The sequence below is a fragment of the Homo sapiens genome, chromosome 5, assembly GCF_000001405.40.
Source record: "Homo sapiens chromosome 5, GRCh38.p14 Primary Assembly".
Classification (NCBI taxonomy): Eukaryota; Metazoa; Chordata; class Mammalia; order Primates; family Hominidae; genus Homo; species Homo sapiens.
Genome location: NC_000005.10, coordinates 130,327,591 through 130,348,556, shown reverse-complemented (window position 1 = coordinate 130,348,556; position 20,966 = coordinate 130,327,591). Strand labels below are relative to the sequence as shown.

Below are 20,966 nucleotides of genomic sequence, written 5' to 3'. Positions count from 1 at the left end.
TTAGAAATCAATAGCAAGAGGAAATTTGAGAACCTCATAAATATGTGCAAATTAACATGCTCCTAAATAACCAATAAGTCAAAAAATAAAAGGGAACTCAAACCTTAAACTATAGAAATCCTAGAAGAAAACCAGGAAATACCATTCTGAACACTGGCCTTGGCAAGTAATTTGTGACTTAGTCACAAAAAGCAATTGCAACAAAAACAAAACTTGACAACTGGGGCCTAATTAAGCTAAATAACTTCTGCAAAGCAAAAGATACTGTTAACATAGTAAGCAGACAACCTACAGAATGGGAGAAAATATTCACAAACTATGTATCTAACAAAAGTCTAATAGCCAAAAGCTATAGTAACTTAAACAAATCAACAAGGAAAAAACAACCCCGTTAAACAATGGACAAAGTACATGAACAGACACTTATCAAAAGACACAAATGCAGCCAACAAGCATATGAAATAAATGCTCATCACTAATCATTTGAGAAATGCAAATCAAAACCACAATGAAATATCCTCTCACACCAGTCAGGATGGCCTTTGTTAAAAATTCTAAAAACAACAGATGCTGGGAAGGCTACAAAGAAAGGAGAACACTTATACACAGTTGGTAGCAGTGTAAATTGGTACTACCACTGTGGGTAGCAGTTTGGAGATTTCTCAAAGTACTTAAAGCAGAACTACCATTCAACCCAGAAATCCCATTACAGGGTATCTACCCAAAGGAAAACAAATCATTCTACAAAAGAGATACATGCACTTGGTATGTTCATTGCAGTGCTAGTTACAATAACAAGACATGAAATCAACCTAGGTACCCAAGAATGGTGGATTAGATTAAGAAAATGTGGTATGTATACACCATGGACTATTATACAGCCATAAAAAAAGAGAAATCATGTTTTTTGCAGCAACATGGATGCAGTTGGAGACCATTATGCTAAGCAAATTAATGCAGGAACAGAAAATCAAATACCATGTGCTCTCACTTCTAAGTGGGAGCTAAGCATTTAGTACAAATAGATGTAAAGATAGAAACAACTGACACTGGGGACTACCAGAGTGGAGAGAGAAGGAGGGGACTGTGGGCTGAAAAACTACCTGTTTGGTACTATGCTCTCTATCTGAATGATGGGATTATCCATACCCCAAACCTCAGCATCGTGTAATATACCTATATAACAAACCTGCATACACACCCACTGAATCTAAAATAAAAGTTGAAATGACTTTTAAAAAACAGACAAAAACAAAAGGGAACTCAGAAAATACTTTGAGATGAATTAAAACAAAGATACAACATATAAAAATGTACGGTATGCAGCTAACGCACTGCTTAGAGGAAAATGTAAAGCTGAAGATGCCTATATTAAAAAAGAAGAAAGAGCCAAATAAATAACTTAACCTTCTACTTTAAGACACTGGAAAAAGAAGAGCCATCTAAACCTAAAGCAGGCAGAAGAAAGGAAATAAGAAAAGTTAGAGCAGAAATTAATGAATTCGAGAATAAAAAAGCAATAGATAAAATAAACCAAAAGTTGGTTTTCTAAAAAGATCAATAAAATTGACAAATCTTTAGCTAAATGACTGATGAAAAAGATAGAAAAAAAAAAAAAAAAAGAAAAAAAGAAAAAGAAGACTCAAATTAGGGGACATTAATTCTGAACCTACAGGAAATAAAAAGGGTTATAAATTAATACTATGATAACTGTATGTCAACCAATTAGATAACTTAGATAACTTAGAAAGACACATGCTAGCAAAACTGACTTGAGAAGAAATAGACAACCTGAATGGAGATATATTATGTAAAGGTATTAAAGTAGTAATTAAAAAAAAAAAACTATCCTCAAACAAAAGCTCAGGATCAGGTGGCTTCAAGCTGAATTCCACCAGGCATATTTTTAAAGTAGTACCAATTGTTCACAAACTCTTCCCTAAAATAGAAGAAGGGGAAATACTTTCCACTCATTCTATGAGGCCAGTATTACCCTGGTAACCAAACTAGGCAAAGACATCACAAGAAAACTAGAGACCAATATCTCTTATGACTGAAGATGCAAAAATCTTCTACAAAATGCTATCTAACTGAATCCAGCAATATATAAAAAATAATTTTACATCATGACCATATAGGACCATTATTCTAGTAATGCAAGATTGGTTTAACAACTGAATATTAATGTAATACATTATATGAATGAATAAAAAGGGAAGAGCATATGATTCAGAAAAATATATGATCATAGATTCAGAAAACTCCAATACTATTTCATGATTTTTTAAAAATTCAACAAACTAGAAATTGAAGGAAACATCTTTAACTGATAAAGAAGGTCTATAAAAAACCTCTGGCTAACCTCATACTTAATTGTGAAGGACTGAATGGTTTCCCTACAATATCAGGAACAGGACAAAGACACCTGCTCTTGACACTTGTATTAAATATTGTACTATAAAATCTAGCTAAGGAAATTAGGAAAGATAAATGAATATAAAGGCATTCATACTGGATAGGAAGAAGTAAAATTATCCTGGTTCATAGATGACATGAAGTTGTAGATAGAAAATCCTAAGGAATGCACTAAAAACTATTATTACAATTAATAAATTAGTTCAGCAAGGTTACAAAATAAATCAATATACAAAGATTCTGATACATTTGCCATGAATAATCTGAAAATGACATTAAGAGAATAATTCTGTGTATAAGAGCATCCAAAGAATTAAAATACTTAGGGATAAATTTAACAAAGCTGTGAAAAATTTATATTGTGAAAACCACAAAATGTGTAGAGAGGAATTAAAGAAGATCTAAATAATTGAAAAAATATCCCATGTTCATGGATTGGAAGACATAATATTGTTAAGAAGGGAACAGTCCCCAAACTGATCTCAAGTTTAATGCAATCTGTATCAAAATGACTTCTTTTAAAAATTAACAAGCTGGGCCGGGCGTGGTGGCTAACGCCTATAATCCCAGCACTTTGGGAGGCTGAGGCAGGCGGATCATGAGGTCAAGAGGTCAAGACCATCCTGGCCAAAATGGTGAAACCTCGTTAGCTGGGCATGGTAGCACATGCCTGTAGTCCCAGATACTCAGGAGGCTGAGGCAGGAGAATAGCTTGAACCCGGGAGGCGGAGGTTGCAGTGATCAAGATCTTGCCACTGCACTCCAGCCTGGCAACAGAGTGAGACTCCATCTTAAAAAAAAAAAAAAAAAAAAGACAAGCTGACTCTAAAATTTCAAAAATTCCAAATAACTAAAACAATTTTGAATAGAAGTAGAATGGCTAACACTTCCTGATTTCAAAACTCACTACAAAGCAAAGTTTAGACAGTGTAGTATTGGTATAAACACTTTGGGAGGCCGAGGTGGGTAGATCACCTGTGGTCAGGAGTTCAAGACCAACCTGACCAACATGATGAAACCGAATCTCTACTAAAAAAACAAAAACAAACAAACAAACAAACAAAACAGGCGTAGTGGCAGGTGCCTGTAACCCCAGCTACTCAGGAGGCTGAGGCAGGAGAATTGCTCGAACCTCAGAGGCGAAGGTTGCAGTGAGCCAAGATCGTACCAATGCACTCCAGCCTAGGTGACAGAGCACACCTCCGCCTCACAAAAGACAAAACAAAAACAAAAAAAAAACAAAAAACAAAGATAATGGCTATGATAGATCAATGGAATGTAATTGAGAATACAGAAATAAATCTATTCATATATGGCTAACTGGTTTTTAGCAAGTGTGCCAAAACCATCCAAAGTGGAAATAGTCTTTTTGACAAATGATGCTGGAACTGGATAGCCACTTGCGAAATCAATCAATCAATCAAGTTAGGCCCTTTCCTTACACCATATACAAAAGTTAATTCAAAATGGATCAAAAGAGCGAAATGTAAGATGTAAAGCTATAAATGTTTCAGTATAAAACGCAGGAGTAAACCTTCATGAATCTGATTTGGCAAAGGATCCTTAGATATGATATCAAAAGCATAAATAACAAAAGAAAAATAGATACACTGAACTTCATCAAAATTAAAAACTTTCATGCATCCACCACACTATCAAGAAAGTGAAAAGACAATTCACCAAATGGGAGAAAATATTTTCAAATCATATATTTAATAAAGATCTAGTACCAGAATACATAATTAACTGTTACAATTCAACAACAAAAATACCACCCAATTTAAAAATGGGCAAAAATTTGAATAGACATTTCTCCAAGGAATATATACAAATAGCCAATAAGTACAGAAAAAAATGACAAACGTCATTAGTTTCCAGGAAAATGCAAGTTAAAATCATAATGAGATGCCACTGTACATTTACTATAATTATAATAAATATTTATTATATTATTTATAATATAGATAAATAAATAATAAAGACTCCAAATCAGAAATTGATTATGCAGAGGAGGAATGACCCTAATTGAAATTCTGAAATTAAGCTAGTTTACTGAAAAAAAATGAGATTAACAAATAAGACACATTCTTCCCATTTCCTGTACCTGCTGACATCTCCAAAAAACAGACTAACAAAAAAACCCAGCAGCCTTCTTTATTTAGGAAAGCTAATAGCACCATTGCAAGGTTGCTACTAATGAATTCAGCAGTATACTTACTTTACCTTTTTAATGCTTAGTATCTCATTGGACCACACACTTCATTAAGTAGCACTTCAGACAAGATTTCTTATATCAATAAAAGGCAGCACCATCTATCTAGATATGCAAACTAGATAATATCTCTAGTCTTGATCAAAGTTTTATGTACACTTGGGTGTATAATAGACATCTTAAACAACATGGATGATCTGAAATTATTTATTCTTCCTTCCCTGTCTGAAAAACATTTTTCTCCTAAGTCTTCCTCCTCTAAGGATATGATACTATCCTCTCAGTTGTTCAACTAAAAACTGAGAAAGAGGGCTGTCCTTCTTGAACCCCCACATCTAATCCAACAACAAATTCTTCCTTTTTTACCCTCAAAATAATCCCAATTGTATTCATTTTCTCCATTTTCCACTAATGGTTCACTAGTCCAAATCACTATCATTGCTTCCCTTCTGAATTGCTGCAATAGGATCTTGATGACCTTCCTATTAAAACAAACAACCAACCAAAAAAAAGCCTTTATACTTTTACATAGGCATTGCATGAAGTTGAAACTGTTTATCATGATCTACCAGGCCCTACATGATCTAGCCCTGCCTCTCCAACCGTCATTCTTTCCATGGCATCCCTCCTCATTCCTTTCCAAACAAAGTAGCCTTATTTTTTTCCTTAAAGACATTAGACTTGTTCTTCCATTAGGACATCTGCACTGCCTATTTTTGGTTTGGTCTGGAAGGCTCCAGTTCTATTTCTTCGTATGATGAGTTCCTTCTTGTTATTGAGGTTTCAGCTTAACACTTAACTACTCTTTGAGATGCTCTCTAGCTACCACTAATTTAAACATTTCTTCAACGACTCTCTATCACGTCACAGCATTTTATTTTCCTCAAAGTACATGTGATTATTTTATTATTTTATTATTTCTTTATGTGTTTATGTGTCTTCTCCACTGATAAGTAAGCTTCACAAACTCAGGGACCTTGTTCATCTTGTTCACTGGTGTACCCCTAAGTCCTACAACAGTACCCAACACATAGTAGTGGTTTCATAAATATTCCCTGAAAGAACAGGGCCTTGAAACTTTTTTCTACTCCAATCCCATCCTCAACCTTTCATTAAGTCCTATTGATATTAATTTGCAAATATCTTTTGAATTCATCACTTTATCATCAATTTTTCATCAATTTTTTCATCTCCCTTGTCACCTTATCAAAATAAATGATCATTAATCTGTTAACTGGACCACTGAGATAGACATCTATCTGAATTTCTGGTATAATCTTTTGTCCCTCTCCAATCTATTAACCACCCCGCAGACAGGGCAAGCCTTTCAAAATCATAATCCAGTCATGTCACCTTCCTAATTGACACTGTTCAGTGGCTTCCTATTGCTTTTAGACAAAGGTCAAAATTGTGAACATGAACTACAAGGCCGTGTGTTGTCAGTAATATAGACCTCTCCAGTCTCATCTCTCCATTTTCTCTTTCACATTCTGTTCTGGCCACTCCCGCTGTCTTTTAATTACTCATCATATTATGCTTTTTGCCTACCACAGAGGCTTTGCACATGCTGTTCCATCTGCCTGGAACGCCCTTATAAGCCCTCTTTACATATGTTTCAGATCTCTATCACGTTAAGTGCTTTAGGAATGCCTTGTCTGATCCACAATCCAGGTCAGATTTCCACTCCTGGGTTATCAACAGGAACAGTGTTGTAAAAAGAAAAAAAAAGTAAATAGTAAATACAAAAGAAAGCAGATGAGAAGCTTGTACCCACTTCAGGCTTCTTGGATCAGAATATAAAGGAGTAGGTTCCAGTCATCCTTATTTTCTAAACAACCTCTTTATTTATTTCTGACCTTAGATTATGAAACTCTGGCTATACAAGGTTTCCAGGTACTGCTCAAAGTACTCTAAAGATTGAGAATAAACTGCTCCCCAAACGTGGGCATTCCACTTTGGATAGTTTCAATTAATCTTTAGAAAGTTTAACTTTAGTACTGGGTGCAATGGCGCATGCCACTAGTCCCAACTATTTAGGAAGTTGAGGCAGGAGGATCACTTGAGGCCAGGAGTTTAAGATAAGCCTGAGCAACATAACAATACCCTTGTCACTAGCAAAAAAAAAAAAAAAAGTTAGCCAGGCTTAGTGGCATACGCCTGTAGTTCTAGATTCTGGGGAGGCTGAGGTGGGCGGATCACTTGAGCCCAGGAATTCAAAGCTGTTATGACACTGCACTCCAGCCTGGTCAATAAACGGGCAGGGTGAGTTTAGAGCTTGAGTGAAAATGGTTTCCCCCATCTTCTATCAATTGATGTTTATTCAATACCTCTGACACATAGAACAAATTAGAATTTAGTGAAGCTCAGAATTGCTTTATTTTATTGAAGATTTATTTTACAGTTTTTGACTCATAATAAGCTTGCTTTTCGACAAATATTTTCTCCCCACTAATACTGATGCTAAGTAATACTGATGCTTAATGCACATGGACAGTTCTTTTTTGGGTTTTTGTTTTACTTAAGTGTGCTGTTCTTCAATTTTCACTATTATAATTAATTTTATTCCATTCAGCCTGTTTTTCTAGAAAGAAACAGTTCTTGGATTCCTGATTTGCTACCCTTCAGCTTTATTTTATCTTCTATCTAATAACTTTGCCTTCCTGAAGTCATTAATGAAAATGCTCAGTGAGAAGAGTCTAAATTGTAGACCTTTATTATGCCACTGAATTTATTTCTTTATCTTAAATTCTTTCAATATTATGACCCAGTTGCAAATTCACCTATATACAATAAAATCTGTTCCGATCTGTTCCAACTTATCAATTTAGACAATATTTAACACGTTTCCAAAATCTTTTATGAATAATACGTGTTATATTTTAACCCAACTAAAGTTTCTTAAAAAATAATGACAATCATAAAAATAGTTTGTTTTTAAGCTCTTACCATGTATCAGGCAGCATTCCAGTTGTTTTAAGTCTATCAATTAAGTCTATTAACTCTTAGACTTAATAGATTAAAGTAAACATTACTGCCACTGTTGTTACCCTTGCACTTATTATTTCTATTTTTTTCTTAGAACTTCCATAGCCTACTAATCTTACAACCTTGTTATAAAAAAATGTAGTTATTGTGACATAACTTGTTTAATGAGGACATGCTGGCTTTAATAATCACTAGTTTCTTTCACAGTTGCTCGCATATCAACCTTTTAATAATGTATACTAAATTCTACTCTGGAATAAAGGTCATGTTTTCTTGCTCGAATGACTTTTGTTGTTCGAATGACTTTTTCCTGCCTTTTTAGTTTCTGCATAGTCCCTTAGAGTTGCTTAGCATTATCAATGGGTGAAATGGACAATCCCTGGAATTCTGGCATCACATTACTAATCAAAATTTATCTATATATTTGAAAGGCTGGAATAATTTATACTTCAATATAACATATAGACCACCAACCAAAGTATTGACTAATTTGTCCAAATAATTCATTTTTATATTTTGAGGATGATTAAATTTCTCTATATACAGACATATGTGATTACCATAGTTTTTAACCATTACATTAAACTTATCTTGATCATAACACAAGGCAGCATTTAGATATACATTTAGTCTCTGTAAAAAGGTTATATGTGATGACTAACATTAGGAAGGAACCTTCATTTATCTGGTTTTGTTTTCTCTTGCAGAGTGATGTTCAGGCCTCTTTCTTCATCCCTTTCCTATTCCTCTCCATATAGAAAGTGTAGTATTTGTTGTTGGTTGGCAAGGATCTGACACCACTGAACCATGTTTGTAAATTAACAAGCCTCATCTATTAAACATCTATAAGCACTGGGGATTAATCTTCTTTTATTTCTTCTCCACCCATTTAAGGTCATCATCCCAGATCAGTATATTTGCTTATCAGACCCAAAGTTTCCCTGGGTTGAGTTTTAGCAGGTCCTTTGTTATGAAAACTAAAGCCAAATTCTCCAATTAGCTTTATCATTATTAAAACCAATATTTGGTCCTCATCAGTGTCTTTTCCATGTTTTATTTCTTAATTGGTTTTAAATTCAGGACGGGAATTAAAAAACGGTATAATTTATTGGTTTTCCCAACCCAGTACCTTTACCTCCTGCCTCTCCCTTTGTTCTCTTGGTTACATTTCCAGGCACCTGCCATCCTACAGCCAGGCACCCAGGGAACCCACTTCACTACATTATTCTGCAAGAAATTGGCACTGAATTTTCCAAATGGTTGTTCTAGGCTTTGTATGAAGGATCTACACATACACTGGCATCTAATTCTTACACTGACCATCCTCACAAATGAACATACCAAGAAGAGTTTCCTTAATTTATCATCTCCAAATCAAAACAGAAATGGATCGAGTGCTACACAGTAACAGGCAGTCTTGTCTACTCCTGATGTTTCTGTGAATGACATAGCAACATGTAATGAATGACGTAGCAACACATAATCCAAAAGAAATTGAAGGTACTATATCTCTCTGTCTTTTATCTGTCTCTCTTTTACACACACACACACACACACACACACACATACACACTGAACTACTTCACTATTATAATATCCTAATAATATGGATAATGGGCAATAATTATTTTTCTGAGCTGAAAAACCCCCCAACAACTATGAATGCAAATAGTCACTGCATTAGGCAATAGTCACTGATGTGAAGGAGATATGAGGATGAACTTTCTGGGAACCTGATAATAATCTATTTCTTGATTTGATCTACATGGTAGTTACACTGGTGTTGATCACTTAGTGAAATTTCACCAACCTGTATAATTTATGACTTGTTCACTTTTCAGTATGTATGCCATACAACAAAATTTTACTTTAAAAAGCCACACGGGAACCAATCAAATTAAACAAGAGCTCAAAGAGCATATGAAATTAAAATTTGAGATTTAATTGCATCTTGGAATATCTTGACTTATGAAAAAATTGGAACTTCTATTTGTATTGGATATGTTTATATCCTCCACTTGAATGAAATAACATTCAGAAGCCCTACGTACTTGCAGCATTTACATCTGACAAAATATTAAACACAATCATAAATGGTGGCAAATTATTTGATGTCTTCTAAAAATATTTGTCAACATGGTAGTCTACATGGAGACAAAAATATTATACTTATGACAATACTTCTGTTAAAATATTTATGTATTTCTTTATGAAAAGAATTACAATTGACTGTGTTTTCCAGTTTGTAGAATTTGCTCTGAGATTATCAGAAATTGATTTGCCATGACATACAACTTTAAAAATACTGAACGAATGTTACAAGAAAAAGAAAAAGTAGGACCATACTAAAAATATATTTTTTTGCTAAAGAACTCCAGTGACATAATATTAGAGATATGGCCAAGAAAGATTAAAATTCCAAATATGTACCAAAAATAATTATTTAATTAATACCATTTTTCATAATCAGGTAGTCATATAAAGTTTTTGTTTTAATGTACATAACTATATTATCTTTATTTTTCAAAAGAATTTTATTATTTTCATTTAAAATTTTCAATATAAGTCATAGGTCCACCAGTAAATTAAAACCGATTTGGAAATGCTTGAAAGATGTTAGACTAAGTGTGATGGTTAATTTTATGTGTCAACACAGCTGTGCCACAGTGCCCAGATATGTGGTTGTACATTATGATTGTTTCTGTGCAGGTGTTTTCAATGAGATCTACCTTTAAACTGGTGAACTTTGAGTAGAGTATCCCCTACAATGTGGGCAAGCCCCATTCAATCAGTTGCAGGCCCGTGTAGACAAAAGCCTGACCTCCTGCAAGCAAGAGGAAATTCTGACAACAGAGTACCTACCTTTAGATTTCATCTGCAACATCAGTTCTTCCTGGCTCACCAGCAGACTGCCTTTGGACACAAATTGCAACTCTTTCCTAAGTCTTCAGCCTTCCAGGCTTCCTCATCAGAATTTGGACACACCAAGTCTGGAAAATCTCATAAGCCAATTCTTTAAAATAAATCTCTTTCATTTACATATATATACGCACATCCTATTGGTTCTATTTTTCTGGACAATCCTCACTGATTACTAAGGATCAAAACTTCTTCGTAATTTCTTCAGATCCTCCAATATTTGAGCAAGTAGGCAAGACAAGAATATTTTGGGGAGTGGCAGGTTATCATGGTCTCAGTATTGCAATCTATAGCAGCATGCAAGAGACCACAGTAATCTGTCATGGGAGCTTCCCCTGGTGCCAGGGTCCCGGAGCTGGGCTCTCGAGGCGTGGCTGTTGACAGAAGGGAAATAAGAAGCAACTACCCATTATCAAAATCTCTATTGTTAGAATCTTATATACTTTACTCTTATATATCTTACCTTTTATTAGTCTACAATTTTAATTCCACGTTGCTCAGATTAGTAGCTTTGCTGAAAGAATACAGAAATGAAAACCTTATTCTGTTTAATAATACAGACATTTCTCAAAGTAAATTTCCAAAGTGTCATTCCTTTCCCAGTCTGCCTTTCCAATCCCGTGAGATAAAGCTCATGCTCCATACTTGGGTGGTGACTCATTTCTTCAAGATAAACTGGAAGTTGCATAGTAATGTGCTGTTTTTACATTTTTAAAACACAATGACAACAAAACGGAAAATGTGTTAGAAAATAAGGACTTGTTCAGTTACAAATGACACAAACCCAATTTGAATTAGTTTATGCAAAATAAAACTATAAAAAGGAATTTAATTGTCCTATTAACTGGAAAAGGAGAAAGGGATGCTGTGTACAAAAATAAGAGGCACCCACTACATTCCACTAAGTGGCCTCCTAGCATGCATATACAGACCCCATATGCATGCTTATTCCCATATTATAATTCATTTTAGCACTGGTTTGTATAGTAATATTTATAGAATTACACAAGCAATGTAGAATGCATTGTCACTGATAAAAAATGAAATATTATAGGTTAAGGTTAAATGCTTTTTGACTACTACATGTAATACCTCTTTTTATCCCAGATTATCATTTAACAGGTATATTTTTAGGCTTTTTAATGTGTTAAATACACATGTACTCATACAAGCAACTATTTAGAGAAGTGTACAGTGTTGCTGTGTGTGTTTGTGTTTCTGATGGATACTTCATCATGCTAAATGCTTTATTATGATAATTGCTTCCTACTGCCTTCTCTCACCATCATAATCCCTTTGGAGACTTTTCTGTGTCACTTTTTAACCTTATATAGTGTATGCTATACTATGCATGCAATTTATTTGTAGTTTAGTTATTTTCCCAATGATGGAAATATAATTTGTTTTCAAATTTTTTATAATAAACAATATTGCCATGAAAATCTCTGTTTATTCCTCTTGTTCTTAACCGTGGTATTAAATCTGAGTGTATAATAATAAGAAATAAAACTGGTCATTAGACATGTAATGTTTAAATTTGGGGGGGGCTACTTATTTCCCATAGCTTTACATTTGATATTAACAAACTAATTTTTGCCAATTTTTTCTTTCTTTTCGTTCTTTTTCTTTCTTTCTTTCTTTCTTCCTTTCTTTCTTTTTTTTTTATTTTTTGAGATGGAGTCTCACTTTGTTGTCAGGCTGGAGTGCAGTGGCGCGATCTTGGCTCACTGCAACCTCCAACTCCCTGGTTCAAGTGATTCTCCTGCCTCAGCCTCCCAAGTAGCTGAGATTACAGGCACACGCCACCACGCCCAGCTAATTTTTGTATTTTTAGTAGAGATAGGGTTTCACCATGTTGGTCAGGATAGTCTCTATCTCCTGACCTCATGATCCGACTGCCTCAGCCTCCCAAAGTGCTGAAATTACAGGTATGAGCCACTGCGCCCGGCCACCAATGTGTATTTTTAAAATGCTTGACTCTACTTCATATGTCCTTGGTTATATGTATTTTCTGTTGTTAAATGCTACAGTTGTTTATATTTTCTGCTCTGTTTTCCATTGGCCTATTATTTTTATTATTTGGTAAACCTTTACGTATTTTAATATTAATCCAATGGCTGTTTTATGTGCACTTGTTCTCATCTGTCGTTTATCTTTTAACATTGTTAATGGTGAAGTTTTTTTGATGGCAGAGACATTTTTAATTTTAACATAGTGAAATTTGTTAATCTAGCTTTATGGCTTATAATTTTAGTTTATAGAAAGCTTCAATAACTCACAGTTCTGAAATTATTTTCTTTTACAAATTTTATGATTTTGTATATTCTATTTTAGATCTTTAATCCAATTAGAATTGTATGTTTGTGATTGAAGTGAAGAAGGTATATAATTCTAGTTTTGCCAAATACTTGTCAATGTTTCCAATACCATTTTTAAGTAGTCTATAGGTTCTTAACTAAGTCAAAAAGTTACAATAACTCAGTGCTAATTTTCCATACAAATACAGGTCATTTTCTTTCCAATAGAATTTGTTTAATTTCACACCAAATAACCAGTATTTTAATTAGTCATGCACTGACTGCATACCATTGTTTTGGTCAACAATGAATTGTCTGTTTGAGAGTGGTCCCATAAGATTATAATGGAACTGAAAAAAATTCCTCTCACCCAGTGATATCATGGCCATCCTAACACTATAGTGCAATGCATTACTCATGTGTTTGTGATGACGCTGGTGTAAGCTAACCTACTGCTCTCAGAATGAATCCCTGTAATTAAGTGATACATGACTGTATTTTCTTATAGAGCAAATTTTCTCACATCTTTTGCTCCAAATCATCTTGGTTTATTTATACTTTCAACTGAGACAGAACAAAAAGGACCAGGTTTACCCTGCTAGCAGAAACAATGAAAATCAGGGTAAAATATATGAAACTATAGTTTTCAAGATATTGGATATCAGGAAAAAAGGACAATGATCACTGAAAAATAGGAAATAAACAAGCTTAGCTCTGCAGTTGCCACAGCTTACTGCCTTCAGTATTCCAGCCAGTGGAGCAGGAAGAAAAGACCCAGACACAGCCTGGTAGACTTCCTGATTTGAGATGATAAAGCTGGAAATCCAAGGAACCTAAGACACCTCTAATTACTCTAGTATACATACTGCTGTGATACTACCTAATAAATCTCAGGAATAAGAACTCTTCCTAAATAACTTAACTGCATCTCAGAACAAAGGTCATTCGTATTTATCGCAATGAAAAAATCCCCAGCACCTAAGAAGATAAAATCAACAATGGCTGGCATTCTATAGAAAAACCATATAAAAAGCAGGAAAATCCAACCCCAAATTAGGCGGAAAAGCAACCAATCAGCAGCAAACTAGAATTAACACACACATTATTATTAATAGGCATTAAAATACTTATTATAGCTGTGTTTCACATGACTGAAAAGCTAGAGGAAAGATTGAGCATGTTAAGTAGAAACATAGAAGGTTAAAAAATACTCCAAATCAAAATTCCAAAACTGAAAATTCGTACAGAAATAAAAAATACTCTGGAAGGATTTGATGGCTGATTGGATATTGCAGGAGAAATAATCAATAAACTGGAACACATAGAAATAGAAACTATAGAATATGAAACAGCAAAACCCTAAAAAATAATAATGAAGAGAAGATAAGGGAACAGCGTGACAACTTCAAGCAGCCTACCTTATGTGTGATTAGTATCCCAGGAGGAAAGGAGAGAAATGGTACAGAAAAAAAAAGCTAAAGAGGTTGTGACTAAAATATCTTACAAATTTGATTTTAAAAACAGAAAAAAAAAACCCTATAGTGCACAGTATGAAAAAGTTCAACAAACCCAAAGGTCGAAAGACGCATAATTTTAAATCTTCACCAAGCATATCATAATCATATGGCCTAAAGCTAGTGATAAAGACAACATTTTAAAAGCAGAGAAAAACAGACATTATATAACGTAAAGAAATAAAGATGAGGATGGCATCAGATTTCTTATCCAAAACAACAAGAACCTGCAGATAGTGGAGCAACATCTTTAAAATAATGAAAGACAAAAAACATTAATTTACAAATCTATCTATACCCATCCAGTGGTAGGGAGAGTCGGAAGGGAAGGATTACAAAGGATGCAAAGAAACTTCTAGGAATGATGTATGTGTTCACTGTCTTAACTGTAGGGTCAAAATTTATCAAAATGTATGCACTTAAATATATGCACTTTACTGTATGTCAATTATATTTCAATAATGCTATTAATTTTTTAATGAAGTAAAATTTGTTCTGGTGATTTTCACATTTTTTTTTAATTTTAAGTTTTAGGTTCGTCTTGTCAAATTTTATTGTAATCCCTATTGGAATATAAATCTGAATTCTACTGATTTATGATGTAATATAAGAAAGAACTGACAATATTTGTCACTTTGACTCTATGTTCTTTATATGTGTGTGCGTCGTATTTATATCTGAAATGTCAAATTGTCTAAGATTATGATCTTTCCAATTTCCCTTTTTATTTAGTCTTTGAACCATATATCCTCTCTTATCTGTGGTTCTGCTTTCTATTATCCGTGGTTTGCTTTACTTACCTGAGATCAACTACATTCTAGAAAATATGAAGTAGAAAATTCCAGAAATACCAATTGTTAAGTTTTAAATTACACACCGTTCTGAGTAGCATGATGAAATCTCACACATCCTGATTCACCCAGCCCAGGACATGAATCATTTCTTTGTCCAGTGTATCCACACTGTAGAAGTTACCAGCCTGCATCACTTATTAGCTGACTTTGCTTTCAGACCATAGAGGTATGGGTACTCCTTATGTTCAAGGAACCCTTAGTTTACTTAATAATGGCCCATGCATGAGAGTAGTAATCCTGGCAATTTGGATATGGCAAAAAGAATCCCTAAAGTGCTCCATTTAAGTGGAGATGTAGAAGTTTTGAGTTAATAAGGAAAGAAAAAAAAATCATATGCTGAAGTTGCTAAGATCTACAGTAAGAACAAATCTTCTATCCATGAGATTGTGAAGAAGGAACAGGAATCCGTGCTAGTTTTGCTGTTGCACTTCAAATTGGAAAAGTTATGGCCGCGTGATAAGTGCTAAGTTAAAATGGAAAAGATATTAAGTTTGTGGGTGGAATATGTAAACAGAAATGTATTCCAATTGATGGCAATCTGGTTGGGTACCATCAGTGGTTTGGGCATACAATGGGGGTCTTGGAACATATCCCCTGTAGATAAGAGGGAAACTACTGATTTCAAAAATTCCTCAACTAGGGCCAAGCGCAGTGGCTCATGCCTGTAATCCCAGCACTTTGGGAGGCCAAGGCAGGTGGATCACTTGAGGTCAGGAGTTCAAGACCAGACTGGCCAACATGGTGGAATCCCATCTCTACTAAAACTACAAAAATTAGCCAGTGTGGTGGTGCATACCTGTAGTCCCATCTATTTGGGAGGTTGAGGCAGGTTAATTGCTTGAACCTGGGAGGGTGGAGGTTGCAGTGAGCCGAGATCACGCCACTGCACTCCAGCCTGAGCAACAGAGTGAGACTCTGCCTCAAAAAAAAAAAAAAAAAAAAAAAAAGCCCCAATTAGCTCTTCCCTATATAAATGGAAGTGGAAATATTCCTTCACTAAAGGAAAACAACTAGTTTCTTTCTCCAGAAACATCTAGTTGCTATCCAATAACATCTCGTTCCTTTATCCAATTCCAAATGCAGGATCTCTGATAAGATTCAGAACTGGTTTTTTGGGATCTTATAAAATGTGATTAACTTATCCAAATCATAGTGGGAGGAATGATTATAAGTGTTTTCCACTTAGAAACAGAGGAAAAGGTACTGGCAATAGTGGTTTCTGGTCCATAACATATCCAGGTGGGTAGAAGAAGTTTTCCTACCCCTTGAACTTTATGTAAGTTCTTTGTTCTGCCAATCTTGCTGCCCAGAGCTCTGCTCACTGTAGGGTCTTTCTTCCTTGTTGTCTCCACTACAATACTTCAAAGGTACACCACGAAGACTTCCACTTCTGGTGACTAAACCAGTCCAGCAATTCAGTTGCTGTTCATGTCAGTTTTATGAAAACATTGGGAAGATACTCCAGGACATTGGTCTAGACAAAGATTTCTTGAGTAAAACCTGAAAAGCATATATAATCAAAGCAAAAATGGACAAATGGGATCACATCAAGCTAGAAATCTTCTGCACACCAAAGGAAACAATCAATAGAGTGAAGAGACTATTCACAGAATGGGAGAAAATATTTGCAGACTACCCATCTGTGTTAGTCTGTTCTCACACTGTAAAAAGAACTACCAGAGACTGGGTAATTTATAAAGAAAAGAAGTTTAATTGACTCAGTTCCCCAGGCTGTATAGAAGGCATGGCTGGGGATGTCTCAGGAAACTTACAATCATGGCAGAAGGGGAAGCAAGCATGTCATCGCATGGCAGCAGGAGAGAGAGCACAAAGGGGGAAGTGCAACACACTTTTAAACAACCGGATCTCATGAGAACTCTATCATGAGACAGTACTAGAGGAATGGTGCTAAACCATTAGAAACCACCCCCATGATCCAATCACCCTCCACAAGGCCCCACTTGAACATTGGGGGATTATAATGCAACATGAGATTTGAGTGCGGACACAGAGCTAAGCCATATCATTGTGCCCTGGTCCCTCCCAAATCTCATGTCCTTCTCATACTTCAAAACACAATCATGACTTCCCAACAGTTCCCCAAAGTCTTTTTTTTTTTTTTTTTGAGACAGAGTCTAACTCTGTCACCCAGGCTGGAGTGCAGTGGCACAATCTTGGCTCACTGCAAGCTCTGCCTCCCAGGTTCACACCATTCTCTTGCCTTAGACTCCCGAGTAGCTGGGACTACAGGCGCCTGCCACCATGCCTGGCTAATTTTTTATATTTTTAGTAGAAACGGGGTTTCACCATGTTAGCCAGGATGGTCTTGATCTCCTGACCTCATGATCTGCCCACCTTGGCCTCCCAAAATGCTGGGATTACAGGCATGAGCCACTGCACCTGGCCCAGTCCCTCAAAGACTTAACTCATTCTAGCATTAACTCAAAAGTCCAAGTCCAAAGTCCCAGCGGAGACCAGTACCTTCTGCCTATGAGACTGTAAAATAAAAAACAAATTAGTTAGTTCCAAGATACAATGGTGGTTCAGGCATTGGGTAAATAAACCTATTCCAAAAGGGAGAAATTGGCCAAAACCAATTGGCTACAGGTGCCATGCAAGTCTGAAACCCAACAGGGCTGTCATTAAATCTGAAAGCTCCAGAATAGTCTATTTTTACTCCATGTCTCACATCTAGGGCATGCTATGCAAGGCGTGGGCTCCTAAGGCCTTTGGCAGCTCCACCCCTGTGGCTCTGTAGAATACTGCCTCCATGGCTGCTTTCATGGGCTGGTGTTGAATGCCTGCAGCTTTTCCAGGTGTACAGTGCAAGCTGTCAGTGGAGCTACCATTCTGGTGTCTGCAGGATAGTGGCCTGCTTCTCACAGCTCCACTAGGCAGTGCTCCAGCTGGGATGCTATGTGGGGGCTCCAACCCTACAATTCCTCTCTGCACTGCCCTAGTAGAGATTTTCCATGAAGGCTTCACCCCTGCAGCTGACATCTGCCTGGACATCCAGAGGTTTCCATACGCTCTCTGAAATCTAGATGGAGGCTTCCAAAGCTTAACTCTTGCCTTCTGCACACCTGAAGGCCTAACACCACATGGAAGCCACCAAGAATTGGGGCTTGCACTCTCTGAAGCCACAGATTGAGCTGTACCCTGGCTTCTTTTAGCCATGGTTGGAGCTGGAGCAGCTGGGGCACAGGACACCATGTCCCAAGGCTGCACAGAGCAGCAGGTCCTGGACCTGGCCCATGAAAACATTTTTCCCTCCTAGGCCTCCAGGCTGTGAAGGTCTCTGGAATGCCTTGGAGGCATTTTCCCCATTGTCTTGACTATTAACATTTGGCTCTTCTTTACTTATGCAAATTTCTACAGTCTTGAATTCCTCCCCAGAAATGGGTTTTTCTTTTCTGCCACATGGTTGGGCTGCAAATTCTCTAAACATTGTGCTCTGTTTCCCTTTTAAATATAATAAGTTCTAGTTTTAGGTCATTGCTTTGTTTATGCAAATGAGCATATGCTTTCATAAGCAGCCAGGCCATATCTTGAACACGTTGCTGATTAGAAATTTCTTCTGCCAGATACCTTAAATCATCTCTCTCAAGTTCAAAGTTCTGCAGATCTCTACAGCAGGGGCACAATGCCACCAGTCTCTTTGCTAAGGCATAGCAAGAGTGGCTTTCACTCTACTCCCCAGTAAGTTACTTATCTCCATCTGAGACCACCTCAGCCTGGACTCCATGGTCTATATTACTATCAGCATATCAGTCACAACTATTCAACAAGTCTCTAGGAAGTTCCAAACTTTATCTCATCTTCCTTTCTTCTTCTGAGCCCTCCAAACTAGTTCCAACATGTGCCCGTTACCCAGATCCAAAGCTGCTTCCACATTTTCAGGCATCTTTATTGCAATACCCCACTACTGGTACCAATTTTCTGTATTAGTCCATTCTCACATTGCTATAAAGAACTACCTGAGACAGGGTGATTTATTTTAAAAAAATGTTTAATTAACTCACAGTTCCACAATCTGTATGGGAGGCATGGCTGGGGAGGCCTCAGAAAACTTACAATCATGGCAGAAGGGCAAAGGGGAAGCAAGCCGTCTTCACATGGCAGCAGGAAGGAGAAAGCAAAGGGGGAAGTGCTACCTACTTTTAAGCAATCAGATTTCATGGGAACTCTATCATGAAACAACACTAGAGGATGGTCCTAAGCCATTTGAACCACCCCCATGATCCAATCACCTCCCACCAGGTCCCACCTCCAACACTAGATTATAATTCAACATAAAATTTGGGTGGGGACACAGAGCCAAACTGTATCACCATCTCACAGAGGATTAAAAGCCAGAATATATAAGGTGCTCAAACAACTCAATAGGATAAAGACAAATAATCAAATTTTTAAATGAGCCAAAGTTATGAATAGACATTTCTGAAAAGAAGACCTACGAGTGGCCAATAGACATATGAAAAAAAATGCTCACCATCACTAACCATCAGGGAAATGCAACTTAAAACTACAACAAGATATCATCTTACCCCAGGTAATATGGCTTTTATAAAAAAGACAAGCAATAATGAATGCTGGTGATGATGTTGAGAAAGGGAAACCCTCGTACACTGTTGGTGGGAATGTAGATTACAGCCACTATGGAGAACAATACAGAGGTGCTTCAAGGAACCAAAAAATATAACTACCATATCATCCAGCAGCAATCCCACTGCTGGATATACATCCAAAATAAAGGCAATCAGTATATTGAAGAGCTATCTGCACTCCCATGCTTATTCCAGCACTATTCGTAATAGCCAAGATATGAAATCAACCTAAGTGGCCACCAAGGGATGAATGGATAAAGAAAATGTGGAGCATATTTGTGATGAAATACTATTCAGCCATAAAAATAATGAATTTCTGTCATTTTTTACAATATGGATAGAACTTGAAGACATTATGTTAAGTGAAGTAAAAGAGGCACATAAACACAAATATTGCATGTTCTCTGTAACATGTAAGTGCTAAAAAAGAATTGAACTAATGGAGACAGAGAGTAAAATGATGATTACCTGAGGCTGAAATGGGTGGTGGGGAGGAGGGCATAAAGAGGAGATGGTTAGTAAATAAGATCTAGTGTTTGGTGGTATACTAACATAGTTATAGGTAAAAATGTATTGGTCATTTCAAAGTAACTTAAAGAGTAGAACTGGAAGAAAAAATAATAAATGCTTGAGGTAATGGATACCCCAATTACCCTGATTTGATCATGACACACGATATGCTTATATCAAAATTTCACATGTACCCTATAAATATGTACAACTATATGTGTTCATAACTTTTTAATAATAAAAAAATTTTAAAAGGATTGTAAACAATGCAGATAAATATATTTTATTAAGTATATAGATTTTTGCCCATCTTTCTATTTGCTATTTATTGCATTAACTTGTAGGAAAAGATTTACTAGGTTAAAAGTTATAGCTACTTTAAAGTTTCAAAAAAAAACTCTTGACAAGTTGTTTGATGAAAATGTTTAAAGAATTTCTTTCTGCCCCACACTACAGTGTATAAAGGTGCTCATTTCCTTAAATCCTTTGCTAGTTTGATAGATAAAAAACTATCCCATTAATGCATTTATTTTATTAATACATTTTATTTTATTAAATGTTTAATGGCTAGTTTTTCTTTGATCTGAATTGAATATTTGTCACTTTTTCCTATTTTTCTATTAGTGCATTCATCAATTTATATTGATTTATGA

The 20,966-nt window shown here is 35.9% G+C and overlaps 1 long non-coding RNA gene across 1 annotated transcript in view; it reads right to left on the bottom strand.

The window, feature by feature from the left end:
- The window catches only part of LOC105379171 (uncharacterized), a 42,488-nt gene extending 31,340 nt beyond the window's left edge, over nt 1-11,148 (bottom strand). The window contains exon 1 of the long non-coding RNA XR_001742880.1: nt 10,475-11,148. This is a non-coding gene — a long non-coding RNA (uncharacterized LOC105379171). The remainder of the gene's footprint in view (nt 1-10,474) is intronic.
- Between the last annotated feature and the right edge of the window lie 9,818 nt (nt 11,149-20,966).